The following is a 20,354-nucleotide window of genomic DNA, read 5'->3' on the forward strand; positions in this document are numbered from 1 at the left end:
GCCAAAATGCTGGATTACAGGCATGAGCCACCATGCCTGGCCCTGATTCCTTCCTTCTGAGTAGCTCAGTTTACTTAAAAGCAACTCTTTATCCCTGAAGCAGTCTTGGCATTTGATCTTATTTAGGATGCAGATTCCCCTAATATTTTGGAGACCATTTTCTACACTTCTGGTGATTGATACAATGCCTCAGTTTGCTTATGACTGAAACAATCTTGTAATTTATGATTCCTCATTCTTCTGTGTCTGACTTGTAGACCATATCAAATTTGTCATGTCTAACTATAACTCTAATACTCTCCTGCTCTTTTATACCCAAATCTTCAGAATGAATATTGGGAATACCATATTATACATGGATCTCTAACTTTTTGAATGACCTGAAGCTTTTCCTTTAAGGAAATACCTCTCTGCTCCCTGGCCGGACTCTGAATCCCATGACATTATGGTCCCTTCCACAGGAGTGAGTCCATCATCCAGACTGCTCAATCACCGCACTCCACCATCAGTTCCAGGATTGGTTCAGGGAGCCACACTGGCCCAACCAGTTATGTAACTTTGCTGAAACCATTAGGAGAGAGGTTACATCTTTTTCTTTTCATTGGGATTGCTCTAGTTAAACATAAATCCAAAGCTGCTGGTGGCCATTTTTGCCAAAATATGGGGAATTTTTCTTTAAAATTGACTCAGTAGAAAGAAAAGAAAGGGCTTGGCATAGTGGCTCATGTCTCTAATCCCAGGGATTAGGGAGGCAGAGGCAAGAGGATCGCTTGAGCCCAGGAGTTGGAGACCAGCCTGGGCAACATATTGAGACCTCATATCCAAAAATAATAAAAAATTAGCTAGACATAGTGGTGACTCTCTGTGGTCCCAGCTACTCGGGAGGCTGAGGTAGGAGGATCACTTGAGCCTGGGAGGTAGAGGCTAGAGTGATTGTTATCACACCACTGCATTCCCACCTGGGTGACAGAGTGAGACCCTGTCTCAGGAAAAAAAAAAAGAAAGAAGGAAAGAAAGAAAGAGAAAGATAAAAAGAAAGAGGGAGAGACAGTTTAAAAAAAAGAGACTGAAAAAGAGAAAAAGACAGACAAGGAGTAAAAGTCTCTGTCAAATGACAAAGGAGGCCAGGCGTGGTGGCTCATGCCTGTAATCCCGACACTTTGAGATGCCAAGGCAGGTGGATCACCTGAGATCAGGAGTTCAAGACCAGCCTGGCCAACATCATGAAACCCCATCTCTAGGCCAGGCATGGTAGCTCACGCCTGTAATCCCAGCACTTTGGGAGGCCAAGGCGGGCGGATCACCTGAGGTTGGGAGTTCAAGACCAGCCTGACCAACATGGAGAAACCCCCATCTCTACTAAAAATACAAAATTAGCCAGATGTGGCGGTGCATGCCTGTAATCCCAGCTACTCAGGAGGCTGAGGCAGGAGAATCGCTTTAACCCAGGAGGCGGAGGTTGCAGTGAGCCAAGATCGCAGCATTGCACTCTAGCCTGGGCAACAAGAACAAAACTCCATCTCAAAAAAAAAAAAAAAAGAAAGAAACCCTGTCTCTACTAAAAAATACAAAAAATTAGCCAGGCGTGGTGGCAGGCAGGCGCCTGTAATCCCAGCTACTTGGGAGGGTGAGGCAGGAGAATCCCTTGAACCCCGGAGGCGGAGGTTTCAGTGAGACAAGATCGCACCACTGCACTCCAGCCTGGGCAACAAGAGCAAAACTCCATCTCAAAAAAAAAAAAAATGACAAAAGACAGGCATCATTTAAACCTCTGTGCTCAGCCACACCTGAAGCAAACAAGATCTGTCTTTTCCATTTTCTTAGACAAAGAATTTTTCTTTGCAAAATTACATGACTTATTTTTCTTAAGCAACTTTGAGGTAAATTTTTGTTACCTGCACTTGGAAGATGCCTAATACTTGCTATGTCTACTTGGAGTAGGATTGCTTGGGTTCGGCTATGTCCCTAGAGATGTCTTTTCTTCCTCCATGAAGCTTGTCGTTATTACCAGGATCAATTATCTGGAGAGGAGGGAGGCCCTCAGGTAGCAACTCAGGGCGAGGGGACAAGGCTGAGGTGTATGGAAGCTCCCATCCCTTTCTGGGTCTTAATGATGACAAGGCCAAATATTTGAGAATATGTACTTGCAGAAACAGACCTCAAGAAAGGAAGGAAAGAGCCCTGCAATGGGTTAAAAACTGAAGACGAATAAGCTATGCAATATATGTTAGAGTATTTTGTTTCATGGTCCTACTCATAGTACTTGTTGCCATTTTGTTACATTCTAACCTTCAGTAAAGCTTAATTGGGCATCAATTCTGCCTCAGTTGAACTAAATGGTATGCAAGGAAGAACTATATGTCCATATATGGGACAAAGCACTGAAAGCAGGGCATTAGTTTTTGCCTTTCGAGGTCAGCAGGTGATACAGTCAAAATAATCCCTGAGGAGAGTGTTTCAAGCTAGTAGTTGGGACTGTAAGGTCAACCTCCCCTATCAAGAAGAGATGCTCTCTCATTGACTACTTTGAAACATCTGGGTTTTATTTAATTAAGGAAGGCATAAATGTATCACGCCAATTATATGAAAGCATAAAATAAGACATCTAAAGTAAAGAAAAAGATTAACATCCCAAATAAGAAAAGCAACAATGCTCAATTTCTTTTAATCTAAAAATCTATTAAGACTTCCCACCACACTTTCAGACTTGGGAAGAGATGGCAGTGAGCTAGTTAAGGGCAGAAGAAACAAGACATAGATACATTGATAGAAGTATAGATACAATGATAGAAGGGGGCTTCACGGATTTTTGCTGGCAGGCAGGAAATCATAAGGTAGTTCCACTAAAGCTTAAACTTTGTGGCTTTTGGAAGATGCATCACCCTTGTTACTTAGAAGCATGCCCAGCACATAGTAGGCCAAAATGTGAGGTTGGGGCTATTTATATTCTTACCTCAGATTAGAATTGGGCCTAAAAAAGAGGCATAGAAAGATTCTGAAGGTGGTACTCATGTGATCCAGCTGCTGAGATGCGGCAGAAGGAAAGCAGAGACCTCTAACCCAACTTGTTGAAAAGCAGCTGAAATTACTGCATTCAGTTTATAAACAATAATAGTCCAATGATAAATTTTAAAAATCTCTGTGAGACTAAGAATGCTGCCCATTTGCTCCTCTGGAACAGTAGCAAGTACAGTGAAGGGCTAGCACCACAGCTTTATGGAAGGAATTGCCTTTACTTTCCATTTCCAAACCTCATATTTTGTTTTCATTGAGTCAATTATTAATACATTTCTTAAAAATTTCCATGCTTTTAAAGAGAGCTATTTTCCTCCTTAATTTTTTATACCAGCTGGAGATTGACCCATACAATACTACTGGTAGGTGGATGAACATTTGTCTTTCTTAACTTTTAATATTATCAAAAAGTAAAACTTGTAAAGAAACATTTCATTCTGAAACCAATGTTAGTGCTGCAAAAATAATTTTTGGAACAATATCTTATGATACAGAAGATCTATGTCATCCAAGGAGCCTCACTGCAAACAATACAAATGGACTCTGCCTGATATGGGCAGAAAAAGGATTTATTGAAAGGCTATTGGTTAGCCTGCACTGTCCAGGACAGCAAACAGGCCCAGAGGTTGTGCACCCAGAGATACAACCAAAATCATATCACAAAGCTGGTCCTATGTGGACGTTGCTGCTGCTGCCACTTAGCATCAGATATCACAGCTGGCCCAATTGGCATTATGTGTTGGATACTACTGTAGATGTGGCTGGCCATGCTATCTTTAGAAACTAGACATTGCTGCTACAGTCACAAGCAGAAATGTTCCCTTCTCTCTTCATGTTTGCAAAATTAGCCCCCAATTTCAAAGTCCATAGGTTTGAATCTAGAGTATATACCCATGTTGCATGGAGGACTGGAAAGTAAGTATCTAGCATTTTGGGCTTCTGGGGTGAATGGTGAGGTGTGACTTCCAGCAAGACTCAAAAGGAAGTGAGGAATTTCCCAAACAGAAGGAGGGGAAAAAAACCCATAAAAACAGTGACCACTACAGTCCACACCTTTGAATGCCTAACTACATATATTCTCTTCTTTATTTATCTTTACTTATGTGTCTACCTAATACGATGCAGATATATCCAAAACAGCAAAAAACACATTCAACTCCTCTCCCAAGAGAAACCAAAATGTAATCAGTTACTGCATCCAGCTTCAAGTCCAGAACTTCTGGGTAATGATGTTCATTCATCTCCCAGTTCAATCATAATCCCATCTTGATATAAACTATGGATTACATTGTTCAAATTCATTACCACCACTTAATATAAAATAATGATGAGAAAGAAAAAATAAAAGGAAAATTAGTTAAAATATAAATATGTATCATATTTTACCAATTTAAAATACATTTTTCCAATAATTTACCATGTCTGAAATCAACCAATGGCATCTTATAATTGCTATCAACTGGGTGGCAATTGTGATGTAATTCTCCTTGCCTTAGTATTACCTTAACTGATTTTTTAGAAAAATTTTAGTGTTTGCAGAAGAGTGACATGTGATGGAAATTTGTGTCTAAAACCCCTACAATCTCTCTCTCGAGGTATAAAGTAAAAATTCTAAGTGAAAGCAAGCAGCATCACATCATAGTTCAGTGGGAAGTGTTTTTCTTTCATAGAAATAAAGGTACATAAATATGCCTTGGAGAGTCAATGAAATACAGTACATGATACAGAAAAAAAAGTGGGGGCAGATACTACAATATACGTTTCTGCAATTGATTACAAATTGGCAGTTGCCATATAGCAACAAATTCCTTATTTCACCAGCCATCCCATGTTCCCTTTCCCTCCAGTCCACATCTCGGATTGTCAGTATTCTTTCCCTGGTAGAGTGACCTAGACTTTTATTACTAAGGGATCAGAGCCAAAAGGTGGTCTTGTTTATGTAAGGTTGTTGCAATCTTTCATTAAATTTTTATTGTAGACATGGCAGTGTGGAAGTTACCCCAGAGACCCTCTTTGTTCCACCCATACTCTTTCCTTCTAATCATTAGAAGCAACACCATTTACTCTCTATAGACGTGATCAATCATTTAATCCAATAGCATAAACCATTTTATCCTGCTTACCAAGTTATTAGAAGATATAAGCATGGTCAAATGGCAATCTCAGCTTCTTATTCAATGGAATACTGTTTCTCCCCTGGTGGATGCATCTTCTTTTTGAGGTACTAAAACCTCTAAACGAGCAAGGTTCAGAATTACAGAAATGAGAAGTAAATAATTTGCAAATGGATCATTAGAAGTAACAATGAGTCACCAACTCCTACTTCCACAGCTTGGTTTTTAGGGTGTATTGTGGCTATGAGGGAAAAAGAGCAACATTTTTTGGTTGATATTTCAGAGCAGTGGCTCTCAAACTTTAACATGCACCAATACTTTTTTAGAGGGTCTGTTTAAACATCAGTTGCTGTGCCCACTCCAAGACTTCCCAATTCAGTAGTTCTAGGATGAAACTAGATTATTTGCATTTCTCACAAGTACCCAAGTGATGCTGATGTTGCTGGTCTTGGGATCACCTTTTGAGAACTACTGGTTCAGAGAATATAACACATTCTACAGGACAGTGCCACAATTTTGCATTTTGTCTTATAGCTGTTCGTCTATTTCTAGTTAATAAACATATGGTAAGCCATAAACATAAGCTCTACTGCTTATTTAATTAAAAATGGCTGTCCAGATAAAAAGTAATGTGTACAAGATACCATGATGGTATGTAAGTAAGATGCCTTTATAATTTGTCATCTGAACTGGGGTGCTTTTGAGGGTGATGAGGGCTACTAATTACACCAGGACAACAGCAACAAACTGGAACTGACTTGGGTGAACCAGATATGATCCCCCTTTGTAAGAGGTATTTAGTATATACAGGATGGTTGTACTAGCAAGTGTCAGACACAAATGTTAGGAGGCGGGGCATGGTGGTTCACGCCTGTAATCCCAGCACTTTGGGAGGCCGAGACAGGCGGATCACCTGAGGTCACGAGTTCGAGACCAGCCTAGCCAACATGGTGAAAACCTGTCTCTACTAAAAATACAAAAATTAGCCTGATGTGGTGGCACATGCCTGTAATTCCAGCTACTCGGGAGGCTGAGGCAGGAGAATTGCTTAAACCCAGGAGGTTGCAGTGAGCTGAGATCACACCACTGCACTCCAGCCTGGGTGACAGAGCGAGACTCTGTCTCAAAAAAAAAGAAAAAGAAAAAGAAAAAGAAAAAGAAATGTTAGACAGGAAAATAAATCCAAATCCAGAATAAGTAATAGTACAGTAAGGATGAATTTCTATCTCTTCTGTGATGATAGACAGCCAATAAATTAACCTGCCTCCCTGTGGCTGAATGTCCTCCTGGGATATGATATCATGTCAGAGGTTCAAGATTTATTTCTGCTGCTAGCAAGTTGGGCAATCAGCAGTGACAGCCAGCATTGGTGATGAAAGGTCCATATTGTTGAGCTTGTGCATACTCTGCATCCAAGTTGCTGTAGACACTTTGTTCATGAGCCCGTTGAGTGAGCCCCAGGATCAATGGGGAAGAAGAATGACTAACATTTGCAGAGTGGATTATTTTGTCCACTGGTTTACTAAACCTCCACAGAGTTTTTTGTTGTTGTTGTTGTTGTTGTTAGCAGTTAAGATATTTTTGACTTCAAAAAAATAAAAACCTTGGACAGTTGATATAAACCATTAAGAATTTATTACTTCACATGTTAAAACGTTCTAAGATAGGGTGGTGCAAGAGGTAGTTGATTAGATAGCTCAACAATTTTATTAAGGATCCAGGTCCTTCCCATCTTTTTGCTTTGCCATCCTGAGCATATTACCTTAGCTTCTTTCATAGTCATAAGAAGACTAAGGTACTTCAGGAGAGACATCTTCACACTAACATCTAAAGGCAGAAAAGGGGACTATTTATTGTTTGCATTTTAATAGATAAAGAAACTCCCATTGAACTAACCCCACAGCAGACTCCCTTCAATTTCTCATTGGCTAAAATGGGGTTGTATGGCCCTTTTTGAGGCTCACGAGGGAAACAGAATCACCATGATCACTTAGATTCACTGATTCACCTGCAAGCGTAGAGGTGTGGTCAGCCTTCTCTGGAGCATAAAGTCACATGGAGGAGCTTGGACACCTGTACAAATCTGAAGTTTTGTTCACAAAGAAGGGGTATAGCTATTGGATTGACAACCAATGTTGTCACACTTATATGAATCCCAAATGTCTTCGTATGATAGTCCCATTTTGAGACCCATCCAGACACTTGTCACCAGTCCTCTGGTCTTTATCTTTCCACTTCCATGAAAATCTGACCAAACTATTTGTTACTGTCCATCAGCATTTCTCTCTTGCTGGAAAAATCAAGGACGATATACCACTCAAGCTCTGCATACTAGGATAATTTTCCTTCTCCACCTTCACTTTGGTGGGACTGAGTGGAACTGAGTAGCACTTCAGTAATCTATTTTGTACATTTACTTTTAGTGATGCCAGCTTACTCTCAGAGCTATATGTAAACTATGCTAGTTTTCTTCAGTTAACTGGTAATGGAGAACTATTCATGAAGTCATGATGGTTGGCAGAGAGGTGGCGGTGTGGCATGAGGATGAATGCCAGGAAGAAGAGCCATCAGTATATGAAACTTGAGCTCTCAGGACATGCTCAGATGCACTCACATATATACTATTTCCACTCGAATATGTCTGACTTTATAGCTGTGTAGATCAGATAACATTCACTTCATGATAGGCAGCTTGTGTTTCACAGTCATCTGGTTTCTATCTGGGCCCAGTATTAAGCCAAGTGCTATTCCTTCAAAGAAGAATGAATGGCTACTCACTGAAGAAGTTATAGCTTTGCTCTAGAACCCTGACGTTCCTGCTGCGAACTTCGTATTCACTCTTTCTGCAGACTCATTTGATTTTTGAGTACCACTGGTCCCACTGGGTCCTAAGGGCCATATAAAAAAAGCTGCAGCCTGGACCAGCTGGAGCATTCCTCTGGGCCCTACTCAAAGCTGTTAGCCTTTCAGATCACTCAAGAAAAGGAGCTGAAGGGCACACAAAATGAGACATATGTTGCTTCTAAAATCCAGAGACCACCATCCCACATAGTACTTTTTCCTAGAGGTGGGAAATAAATTGTCCTTGACACTGAAAGTATAAACTCACATGTCATGCAACACTGGATCCCAAGAAACATCATTGAATTATCATGAGATTTATTTCTACTTTCTGGCATGCATGGTCTTAATCTAAAATACTAGCCACTTGCTGTTCTCCAGAGTCATCAGAATGTTATCTTCAGCATATCCCTGGATGATGAGATGACCAGGTTCCTTTAGAGCAACTTATGGCACAGAGAATGGAGAAGTAACATAACTCTGAGTTGAAAATATAGTTCTGCTGTTTTAGGTAAAGTCAAACTACTTCTGATGTGCTTTCTGTGTTTGCTGAAGCAGAAAAAAAAAAAAAGGATTGTCCAGATGAACGCTGCAATCAATATCCCATAGTATGTCTTGATTCACTGTGATAAGGATACTACATTTGAAAGATCATATGTACTTGAAAGACAAGTTTCCACTTGACTTAGCCTACAGTTATCCCCTAGAATTATCTAAGACTGATCCATCTTTTGCACTGGCCAGCAGTTGAAGAATTAAGTGGGGATGTGATAGGAAGCACAGTGACCTTCAGCTCTATGATTTCCCCAGGAATGTAGTGCAAAAAAATTACAATAATTTTTTCAATGAAGTATAACAGAATATTTTTTGATTTACTATTTTGACAGTGACGGTAACCCCTGAGCTTTCACAAAGTCATTCTTAACCATGATAACTGTGTTAAACTCTATTCTATAGGTCAGAGGGTCAGTGTCAGAATTCTGCCATTTACTGAGGTTATTTTTACTAATAATATGCCCGGAAACTGAAAATAATCCTAGCGAGGGTTCAGGGGCTTATTAGAATGCATTTGTGTTCAGCGCAGTGGACCACTCTAAGTATTTTAAATACAAAGAGTCTTAAGACAGAGAATTAAGTGCTTATAAAATCATTGGAAAGACTGGGGAGGCAAGTATCAGAAGGGCACCATGGGCCAGGTGCAGTGGCTCATGCCTATAATCCCAGCACTTTGGGAGGCTGAGGTGGGAGGATCACTTTAGCCCAGGAGTTTGAGATCAGCCTGGGCAACATAGCAAGACCCCCATCTCTATAAAAAAATTAAGCAATTAGCCGAGCATGGTGGCACGTCCCTGAAATTCCAGCTACTCAGGAGCCTGAGGTGGGAGGATCACTTGAGCCCAGGAGGTCAAGGCTGTAGTGAGCCGTGATCACACCACTGCATGTCAGCCTGGATGACAGAGCAAGACCTTGTCTCAAAAAAAAAAAAAAGACCCTACCAGAACGACTGAGTTAACGAACACAACACCAAAGCTACAGCCACTAATCCTGGAGTATTTTCCATTATTCAACTGAATTAGGCCCCTGGTGGGCTGCTCATCTGTTTTTATCTTTGTAACTCCATTATATGTAAAAGATTTCTGGAGATGTTTGAAGGATGTATCATTTTGAATGCCATACCAGCTCTAGTGCTATTATTATTATTATTACTACTATTATTATTATTATTTTTGAGACAGAGTCTCACTCTGTCATGCAGGCTGGAGGAGTGCAATGGCATGATCTCGGCCCAGTGCAACCTCCGCCTCCTGGGTTCAAGTGATTCTTCTGCCTCAGCCTCCCGAGTAGCGGGGACTACAGGCACGCACCACCACGCCCAGCTAATTTTTGCATTTTTAGTAGAGACAGGGTTTCATCATGTTGGCCACGCTGGTCTTGAACTCTTGACCTCAAGTGATCTGCCCGCCTCAGCCTCCCAAAGTGCTGGGATTACAGGCGTGAGCCACCATACCCGGCCTCTACTGCTATTATTATAGGAGCATGCCCACCTTAACTTTGCCAGTTAGGTGCCACTACTTGTCCTTTTCCATCAGTGTCACTGTTGAAATCAGGAGCCCTTTTCAACCACAGAGTATTCTCTTTTTACCCCAGCACATGAAAACCACCAAAATGCCTTTTAAGATACCTATGCAATTCTTGAGCCCCTGGTATAAAAAAGGTTTTCTGTGCATTTCTTCCTCCTTCTAGAGGAAGGAGACTGTTAGGGAATAAGCGTGTAGTTCACATGTGATAATCTACCCCAATATTCTCATCTCCATAACCTGTTGGCTTCCTTCACCTGTATTCTTACAAAAATGTCTAGCATTTCCTGTTCATTTGGAATGAAATACTACTGAGCACAGCTCAAGAGAGCAAATAATTTACACAACTTGCAGCTGCTTAAGCCAGCACCTTAAATCCAGAATCTCCAATAAGTGTATCCCTATTGCTGAATTCTGTGTGATCTATAGTTATGCTCTTCCTTTCTTGGTCTAGTACTCTCAATCCATTTCCACACATATTCTCCATATTATGCCAGCATACCTTAGCACTCTTTCAATTCCTTTGGTGAGAACATCTTCTGCTCTTGAATTTGGCTTTGCAGTTGAACTCCTGAGGCATATGGGATCTGAATCTACACGCAGTTCTGGTGATCTTGAGAGACAGTGGGAGTGGGATGTGAGGAGAAGTGACTTGCCTTGCGAAACTGTTCCCTAGACTTTCTCAAGTGAGAGTACTGAGAACCCCTGACAGTAACAGCATCATCAGACAGGAAGGCTCATTGGGCTAAAAATGGTAAAACCTGTGTGAAATTGGCCTCAAGAGTCTGCATGTTTATTATGTAACATAGTAAGGATTCTGAGGCAAGGTGGGCTTCAGCAGTGCTACATGCAGGTTCTGGCCCTGTTTTTCTTCAGTTCTCTTGTTCTGCTCTCTGGGAATTAGCTTTGTCCTCAGGAGGGAATCCCTCTTGGTTGTTAGGGTGGCCACCAGAGCATAACGCTTCCTATGTACATTCTGTAGGAGAGACATAATCCCAAAGCCACAGGATACAAGTCCTCCCATTCAGAGTGATTTGCCATTTCTACATTGTTAAGAGCCACCATGGAAACGGCATTCATTGGACAGCTTTCGAGGATGGGTTCCTGCGCTTATACACTGTTGGTTGGAAGGTAAATTAGTTCAGCCACTGTGGAAAGGAGTTTGGAGATTTCTCAAAGAACTTAGAGCTACTATTCGACCTAGTAATCCCATTACAGGGTATATATCCGAAATAAATCATTCTGCCAAAAAAACACATGCACTCATATGTTCACCACAGCACTATTCACAATAGCAAAGACATGAAATCAACCTAGATGTCCATTAACAGTGGACTGGATAAAGAAAATGTGGTACATATACACCACGGAGTACTACACAGCCATAAAAAAGAACAAGTTCGTGTCCTTTGCAGCAACATGGATGCAGTTTATGGTCATTATCCTAAGCAAATTAATGTAGGAACAGAAAACCAAATACCACATATTCTCACTTATAAGTGGAAGTGAAACATTGAGTATTCATGGACATAAAGATGGCAATGATAGAAACTGAAAACTACTAGAAGGGAGAGGGAGAGAGAAAGGCAAGGGTTGAAAAACTGTTGGGTGCTATGTTCAGTACCTGGGTGATGGGATCAATTATACCCCAAACCTCAGCATCATGCAATATACCCAGATAAAAAACCTGCACACATACCCCCAAATCTAAAATTAAAGTTGGAAAAAAAACAAAGAAGATTGGGTTCCTGAACCAGTCACCAGCAAGGGAGAAGAAATTCACATGATGGTTCATTCTAATAACATTTACTCCTATACATAAGGATAGGTCAAATGCCTGAATAAAATTGGGGTTTCTATTAGGAAGGAGGAAGAGAAAAGGTCCATATGATGGAACATCTATTGAAGCTAAAAATGTTCTCTCTCATCCAGTAGGCAGAGAAGAATAACAGTAATATAGCATTTTAGGGCTAATGCTCAATCTTGGAAATACATGCATTAATATTTTGCTTTATATTTACTCTCCGTAGATAGCTCCACTTTGGAATAGTAGGGCTTTTACTTTATGGTGGAAATTCTATTCTTTTTTTTTTTTAATCATTCACTATGACTAATTGGATGTATATCTACAAAATGACTACCTGTTATTTACCTAAATTTTAAAAATTTTGGCTGGACACAGTGGCTCACGCCTATAATCCCAGCACTTTGGGAGGCTGAGGTGGGAGGATTGCTTGAGCCCAGGAGTTCAAGACCAGCCTTGGCAACATAGGGAGACCCCATCTCTACAAAATATATTTTAAATTAGCCAGGCGTGGTGATATGCACCTGTGGTCCCAGCTACTCAGAAAATTGAGGTGAGAGGATCCCTTGAGTCTGGGAGGTCAAGGATGCAATGAGCTGTGATTGCACCACTGCACTCCAGCTTGGGTAACAGAGGGAGACCCCATCTCAAAAAGAAAAACAATTAATTGCAATTTCAGTTACAAACTAGTTGAAATGAAATAAGTGGGAGAAAAAAGTAGTGTGTGCATTTCTTTATATAGACCTTTTGATAAAACCTACACTTTCTAAAACAAGTTAACATTTTCCAAGTCTGGTGAATTTAAAATGGTTACAAAATTGTTTACAACTTTTTTCATCAAGAGCTGGAGTTGGCCAGGCACGGCGGCTCACGCCTGTAATCCTAGCACTTTGGGAGTCTGAGGCAGGCGGATCACGAAGTCAGGAGATTTAGACTACCGTGGCTAACATGGTGAAACCCCGTCACTACTAAAAATACAAAAAATAAGCCGGGCTTGGTGGCGGGCGCCTGTAGTCCCAGCTACTCGGGAGGCTGAGGCAGGAGAATGGCATGAACCTGGGAGGCGGAGCTTGCAGTGAGCCGAGATGGCTCCATTGCACTCCAGCCTGGGCGACAAAGAGAGACTCTGTCTCAAAAAAAAAAAAAAAAAAAAGAGCTAGAGTTCATTTTACCACCCCTTAAATTCAAGCTGTCCTTATAACTTGCTTTGACCAATAGAATGCTGCAGAAGTGACGATTTGTGACTTCTGAATAAGACCTCAAGAGAACCTAGCAAAACAAATAAATCAGTCTTTTGGTGGGGGGGATTACTATTTCTGTAGTTCTTTCTTTATTTTATTTATTTGTTTGTTTGCTTATTTTTTCTTTCTTTTTGTCTTTTTTGAGCAAATAAATCGTTATTTTAAGCCACTAAGTTTTGAGGTAGTCTTTATGCAGTAATAAATAACTGATATACCAACCCTTTCATAAGGATTCATGTTCTATCATTTTACTGGGATTTGAAGTGTGTTGTTATTCAACCATACTTAATTAGAAATCAAACATTATAGATAAAAGCTTTTTGAACTCTTAGCCTCAAGTGAGCCTCCCACCCAGCCTCCCAAAGTGCTGGAACTACAGGCATAGGCCACCGTGCCCCACCAGATAACTTTTTCAAAGAGGAATAACTTAAAAACTCAGTCCTATTTTATATGCAGAAAAACAAAAATAGCATATAATCTCTATGGGAGTGAAATATAAGTATGTAACTTCACGCATCCCTGTAAAATATAATGCGATGGCTCAGAGCAGGGACTGGGAAAATGCTATTCCTCTCCTGTTTACTGCAAACGCTTTATGAGCCCCTACCATATGCTCTTGTATTATATCTGGTAGGTACTTTTGGGTGAGGGTTGTGTGGGGAAATGAAAGTGAAGTTGGGGAGGTGAAAGCTCCATTAATAAAATAAAATCCTTAACCAATTAAAATTTTAAAAATATATTTAATGTTATCTGTATCTCATTATTAATATGTACATCATATTCTAATGACCCATGTATTATTAGATAATACATGTATATAATTCATGAATAAAAATGTATCTCTGTTGAGCAAATGCTCAAAAATTTTTTATACGCATATGTGAATGATCAAAAAATATAGAGGATGGGCTAGGAAACATGGTAGCCCTTTTAAGAGACAAATATAGAAGCAAACTATACCTGCCATGTAATATAAATAAGCACACACATGCCTACCAGATATCATGTAACTGGCATGACAAAGTCACTGGGAAAAGGCATACCTATCTGTAATTATTGACCTACTCTGGGCTATGACATTATACCAAACTCTTTGGAGGAATCAAAGATGAAATTAGAAGTTTTCTTGACTAACATCCAATTCTTTTGGAATTTCCCTTTGGGGGCATGTTATTTTAGGGTCATTCTAAGGGTTCATGCCTATAATAAAATGTTATAAAAATATCCCTGGAGCTACCCTGCCCACTGGCTCATTTTCTGAGTGGACTCAACAGACTGGTGGCCTGGGGTTTGTTCTGGGCCCCTTGCCTCAGGTGCACCCTGGTGTGACCTCACACACCACAAAACAGCCTAGTGTTCTGTTTTGTTTTGCTTTTTTGTTTTGAGACAAAGTCTTGCACTGTCGCCCAGGTTGGAGTGCAGTGGCTTGATCTCTGCTCACTGCATCCTCCGCCTCCTGGGTTTTCAAGTGATTGTCCTGCCTCAGCCTTCCGAGTAGCTGGGATTGCAGGCACCCGCCACCATGCCCGGCTAATTTTTGTATTTTTAGTAGAGACAGGGTTTCACCACGTTGGCCAGGCTGGTCTCAAACTCCTGACTTCAAGTGATCCTCCTGCCTCGGCCTCCCACAGTGCTGGGATTACAGGCTTGAGCCACCACGCCTGGCCAAAAGAGCCTAGTTTTAAGCTAAGAGTTCATGGCGCTGGGGCATTTTATTCCTCCATTTGCCTAGCAGCTTCCACTGCAGATGTTTTCTTACCCTTCTGGCTATTTTCACCTTTCTTTCAGTGGCTTTTTTTTCCATTTTTAAAAATTCACAGGCTTCCTGTTTCTAAGTATTTACCACATTTCTGTTCATGCTTTTTCCCTGACTTTTATTTTTCACCCCTTCTTAGCCCTCTCTCCCAACCACATCTGTTTTACTCCCTTTCATTTTTTCCCCATTCCTTTATTCCCTGCTGTCCTGTTTTTCTTTGTTCAATTCAGAACATCAGCCGGAAGCTTCCCTGTTGCTAAGTAACCACATCACCCACACACACCCTTTTCCATTTTCAACTTATTTCTTCTGTTTTAATAAACTCATGGGGCCGAACAGTCTCTAAAAGAAAACGAGAGGTGCTGCTGTCTTCTCTTCATGCAGCAGAGATGCATACCCTCTCATATCCTGCCTTTTCTTATTAGATTTTGGCTTCTTGTTTTATTGATAATTTGCCCCAGACTGTGAGATAACACTAAATAAGCACAAAATATCTTTTTGGGCTTGGACAATTTGCAGAAGGGAGGAAGAGATATAATTTCTGCAGAAGGAACAATGAAAATGTTTAAAATATAGTTACAAGGCATGGCATGGGCTCATTGAAGGGTGTTTGCCTTGACCCCGGAACCAAATCCAGCCCTCCCTAGTAAAAGGTTTCCATTAGGGATCAAGTTAGCTAGCAAGTCCCTCTTAACATTGTTGAGTTGTGAGGAAGCTACTAATGGCATGGTAAGTGTGATTTGCACAAAATGAAGGATAAAACAATACAAGAAATCATTATGTGGTTTTCCAAATCTCAATCCTTTTCCAGACATCAATCTGACATGGCACTTGTGCCAAAGGCATAATTGGAGGTGTGTGAGCCCTTCTCACAATATGCTCTTGAGGGATTCCAAGTCTTCTGGCACATTTTAATAATTTAATGGGAATGGTAACTCCATATGTCCAAACACTAGGGCAGAGTAACAGAGATACCAGGAGATTTGAAAAAAAATCTTTTCACCCTTGCAATACCATAAATAATTTCCTTGCCTGGTGTGAATTCTTTCTCTGACCTCTTGCATTTATGCAATGCCTGGGAGGCCTTTCCTGCTAAGCCCGCCCCCACATTGTTGCTCTCAGCTTTTTGCCCACAGTGAGCACTGTGCTAATTGGGTAGATTTGGGAGCTGCTTCTTAAGAAGTATCACGGCCGTCTATGTAGGTGTGTGTCCCAGCTCCTCTGGTAGTGCTCTGTGCTCTCTGTCAGGGAAGGGCTCGTATCCAGCATGTAATGAATACTCAATAAGTTGCCTTAAATTTAACCACAGAACACAGACACTCTGACAAGGGGATTATTTTTAGTTTCATTTTCTAGATAGAAGAACAGTGGTTTTCTTCATATTGAAGTCTAAGTTCATCAATCAAAGTGCCAGAAATGAAGCTGATGCATTTCCATCACTATCCTGAAATGCAGATGGAGCATTTCAGTAGAGGGAAATTTCAAAAGCTTTATTTGTCAAGACCTGTTGATATTCTGAAAGCAGAAACCCTGTAAGACTAAAACCTACTCTAAGGTATTCTAAGAATGCCTAGCCAGAACTGGAATTGGCAAGCTTTTTCTTTCTAGAATCTAGCCCCTTTGAGATGTTAGGTCTTCTGAGAGTTTCAGAAAGTTTTAACATAATTTCAACTTTTATCTTAGGGTAACCTCAACTGATGAAACATACATTTGAACCTCCTGGAATTTTTATTTTATGTGCCACTTACTTTAAATTATACAAAACCTTCACTGTCTTCCAGTATTCACTTCTCTTTTAACTTTCTTTTCTCAACTTGAGATATCAGGAAACGCCACCATGTCATATTTTCTTTTCTTACATTTTTGAACATCTAATTCCTTTTTTCCTTTCCGTCCTCCTCATCAATGTGGTCTAGTCTTATAGGGAACTTTTCTCTCCAATCACAATCCCCTCCTCTTCCACTTCTCGCTTAGCTACTCTTCCCACACCCCAAAAAGACTCTCGCTTTGTGATTCCAGTCCTGGAATTCTTTCCCTATTAGTGTCCTCTTCACTTCACTGCTTCCCTACCCCATGGAGCTCTCATGAGCCATCCCTTTAACCATTCTCTTCAGTATCTCAGTTCCCTTGCCCCTCATTGGCCTGGCAAATCCCCAAACTTCAATGAGTTCATCTTCATATCTCCCTGTCTGAGCCCAGGCTATCTCTCCTGGAGAGAGATCACAACTCTGCCATGGATGCCATTCCAACTCTGTGACCCCAAGTACTGGTCCCTCCAGGCTGGTCCCAGCAGTCCTCCTGGGTTTCCTTCTCATATTCCTCCTCATCTGCTTTTTTTTTTTTTTTCTTTTTTGAGACAGGCTCTTACTCTGTCACCCAGACTGAGCTCATTGGAGCCTCAGCTCATTGCAGCCTCAACTTCCCAGGCTCAGATGATCCTCTCACCACCTCAGCCTCCCCAGTAGCTGGGACTACAGGTGTGTGCCACCATGCCCAGCTAATTTTTGTATTTTTTGTAGAGATAAAATTTTGCCATGTTGCCCAGGATGGAATGAAACTCCTGGGCTCAAGCAATCCTCCCGCCTCGGCCTCCCAAAGTGCTGGGATTATAGCCATGAGCCACTGCACCTGGCCTTACCTCATTCTTTTTAGCTCCTCATTCAATTCTACAGTGAGGAAGCACCAACACTTACTAAACTACTTCCTTTTTATTAAACTTCATTTTCTGTTATTACAAAGAATGTGCTAATGAGATGCTTATGCATTTATTTTTGTTTATATATCTAAGTATTTCTGTAGGATACATAGAAATTTTTAGGTAAAGTGGCTTGAAATTTTTAGGTATAGGAGTTTTATACTTTTTGCTTGTAAATATATTTAAACATGTGCAAACTTTTATGTATTAAAATAGGCAAAATACGTAAAACCTTAATTCACGGAACAGCAAATCTGAACCAATGAACATATATAAAGATACTCAAGCTCACTTATAGCCAGGAAAATAAAAATTAAACATTGCAATATCACTTTATAGCTACTAAACTGTCAAAAATCTAAAAGACCAATACAACCTATTACTGGTAGAAATATGGGAGAAAGAGTTGCTTTTTTGGGGGGGGGACGGGGGGGAAACAATCTGGCAGCATCTACTAAAATTTAAAAAACATATATAGACTTCAACCGACAAACCTACTAACTCTTAGAGTTCAATCCTATAAAATAGAAGGCCAAAAGGTCGGAATATATAGACAAAGATATCTTTGGGAATATTCATTTCTTCCTGCAAATATTTATTAAGTTCGGACTATATTGCCATCACTTCACAGATGAACAAGGCACAGGCCCTGCCCTTAAGTTACTCACAGCCTGTCTGGAGACAGATGAGTACACAAGCAACTGGAGTTCATGAGCGAGGTGTCTAGAAGCAATCTGGGCCTGGGATGGAAGGCTGCAAAGACTTCACTGAAAAGCAAATTTGCAAGACTGTAAAATACAACATGCTTCCAAGGCCTTGGATTAAGTTGTGTGGTCCAGGATAGCTGAACAGAGTAAAGATACCTGGATATAGGGAAAAGATAACCCATAAACTTTTCACGAAACAAAATTGTGTTAATAAAAGTCACAGGTACTCTAGTTACTCTAGTGGCAGTGGAGACAGAATATGAGATACACAATGAAAAAAGAACTTACTTTTTAGGAAGAGAATTAAAAGAGTCTATTATTAAATGGTAGCCAAAATGCTGTTTTTCTCGTATACCTGGCACAGAACCTACTCTTGAAAGCTATGTGTTGAATCAATAAAGTATGACATGGGAACAGCATATAAAAAGGTTTAGCTCAGATAAACTTGAATTCAGTCAATAATCTCACCTATTTAAGATTTTTCCTTGAATAGACTTTTTTCCTTCCTTCCTTCCTCCCTCCCTTTTCCCTACCATTTTTCAGGCGAAAGAAAGACTGGTCAAATAGGGGTTCTAAATCCTGTTAACCTCACTTTAACCCTGTTATTTCACCATTTAATGACAAGGCAAAACCATCAGCTCTTAAATCATGAACTTTAAATGCCAAAAACAGTGTTGAGAAATTTTTAAAATATGAGTGTTATATAGAAAAAGAATGACTAACACTAAAAGCAAACAAAACAGGCAGTTCATTAGAAACCGGTAATATAGAATAGCCCCGATTTTGTACCTAACAGATCTCGGAAAGGGACTGACAGCCCACAGAGAAACAAGAGCAGCACATCAAGACGAAGGCACATTTTCTTCCCAACTGCTGTCATTTAAGGAAAACCCATGAGCGTGAGTTCTCTTATGGGAGGGTAGCGACCTCCATGAAATCATGAGAACATTCCCCCAGTCTAAGTGCTGCCTGGCTTTACTCCCACATCAACAGCAAAACAACTGCATAGCAACCTACATTTGCCCATTTCCTCACTCATTAATGTTTGTCCAGAGGAAACACCCCTGCCAGTCCCTGTCTGCTTTGTAAAGTATGTCAAACAGGAGTTGAGTGTGTACGCCAGATTGGGAAGTGACACATGCTGGCATTTCTCAGCGCATGCGGCTCCCCACTCGGCTTTCTGGAGCTCTGCCTTTTGGCGACAGAGCAGCTAGAGCTCCTCTCCCCTCCCCCATTTCCTCTCATAAAGATAACCAGTAACAACAATTGGCGTGTGTGTGTGTGTGTGTGTGTGTGAGAGAGAGAGAGAGAGAGAGAGAGAGCGCTCCCAGTTGGCCAAGTACCCTTTACATCCAGTGACCTGTTTTACGAATAATAGGAAAGACTTTCCAGCTTATTTTCTGCATTCTCAGGAGTACGCAGAGTTCACAGTAAATGCAGAGTAACAGTCATTTCTAAAACAAAGATAAAACACTCCAAATGCTGCTCTGCAAAGACCATTTGCCATCTGTTCCTTTCCCCCTGACAGGGCTGCTTATCAGGACTCCAGCAAGGACACCATCATAGCAATCTAGATCCGAGTACTTTTCCTCTGTTGCAGGGGGTGTTTCCTTGAACTTTCCCATCTGCTTCTAAGCAAGAGGTATAAAATATTATCTATAAAATAAGACTAGCAAATGACTCACAGTGAATAAAAATAAATCAGGGTGTAGTTTGTCATCATCTTTAAGAGAAAAAAAAAGGAAAATGCTCCACAATTGGAGAAACAACTCACTTTTTCAAACCTCCTCAAGGAACGTCTTCAAATGATAGGCAGGAAATGGGTATGTGGGGGTTAAGTTAAGCTCAAGTAAACTCAAGTGGCAAGAGCATGATCCAGCCCCATCATACATATTCATAAGAGGCAACCTGAGCTTCCGTGTAAAACCACAGTGTGACTGTATTTCCTGCACACACTTTGCATCCCACACAGCCCGGACACACTGCAGCACTGGAGGGGCACAATGCCTTGCTTTAAAACATGGCTCAGAAGAACCATAATTGTTCATTGACAACTTAACCTACACATTGACTGGATGTTCTCCATAGGCCTTATGACAGCTC

General features: G+C 40.7%; 1 protein-coding gene across 7 annotated transcripts in view, besides 2 other annotated features; it reads right to left on the reverse strand.

The window, feature by feature from the left end:
* The window catches only part of CEP85L (centrosomal protein 85L), a 249,318-nt gene extending 229,239 nt beyond the window's left edge, over positions 1-20,079 (reverse strand). For 4 of the 7 annotated variants that reach the window (XM_011535811.2, NM_001178035.2, XM_011535810.3 and 1 more), the window contains exon 1: positions 20,026-20,079. The gene's annotated coding sequence lies outside the window, so the exon portion shown is untranslated. Of the gene's footprint in view, positions 1-18,212; positions 18,408-20,025 lie in introns of all 7 variants that reach the window. The other 3 variants (XM_047418759.1, XM_047418760.1, XM_047418758.1) reach the window with 2 other exon arrangements.
* Positions 15,876-16,170: a silencer, noted in NCBI's record as "tiled region #6198; HepG2 Repressive non-DNase unmatched - State 21:Repr". NCBI's record gives its function as "represses a minimal TATA promoter and a strong SV40 promoter by Sharpr-MPRA in HepG2 cells {active_cell/tissue: HepG2}" and the evidence as "EXISTENCE:reporter gene assay evidence [ECO:0000049][PMID:27701403]".
* Positions 20,068-20,117: a silencer, noted in NCBI's record as "silent region_17503". NCBI's record gives its function as "represses an Ori minimal core promoter by ATAC-STARR-seq in GM12878 lymphoblastoid cells {active_cell/tissue: GM12878}" and the evidence as "EXISTENCE:reporter gene assay evidence [ECO:0000049][PMID:35858748]".

Source organism: Homo sapiens, chromosome 6 (assembly GCF_000001405.40).
Source record: "Homo sapiens chromosome 6, GRCh38.p14 Primary Assembly".
NCBI lineage: Eukaryota > Metazoa > Chordata > Mammalia > Primates > Hominidae > Homo > Homo sapiens.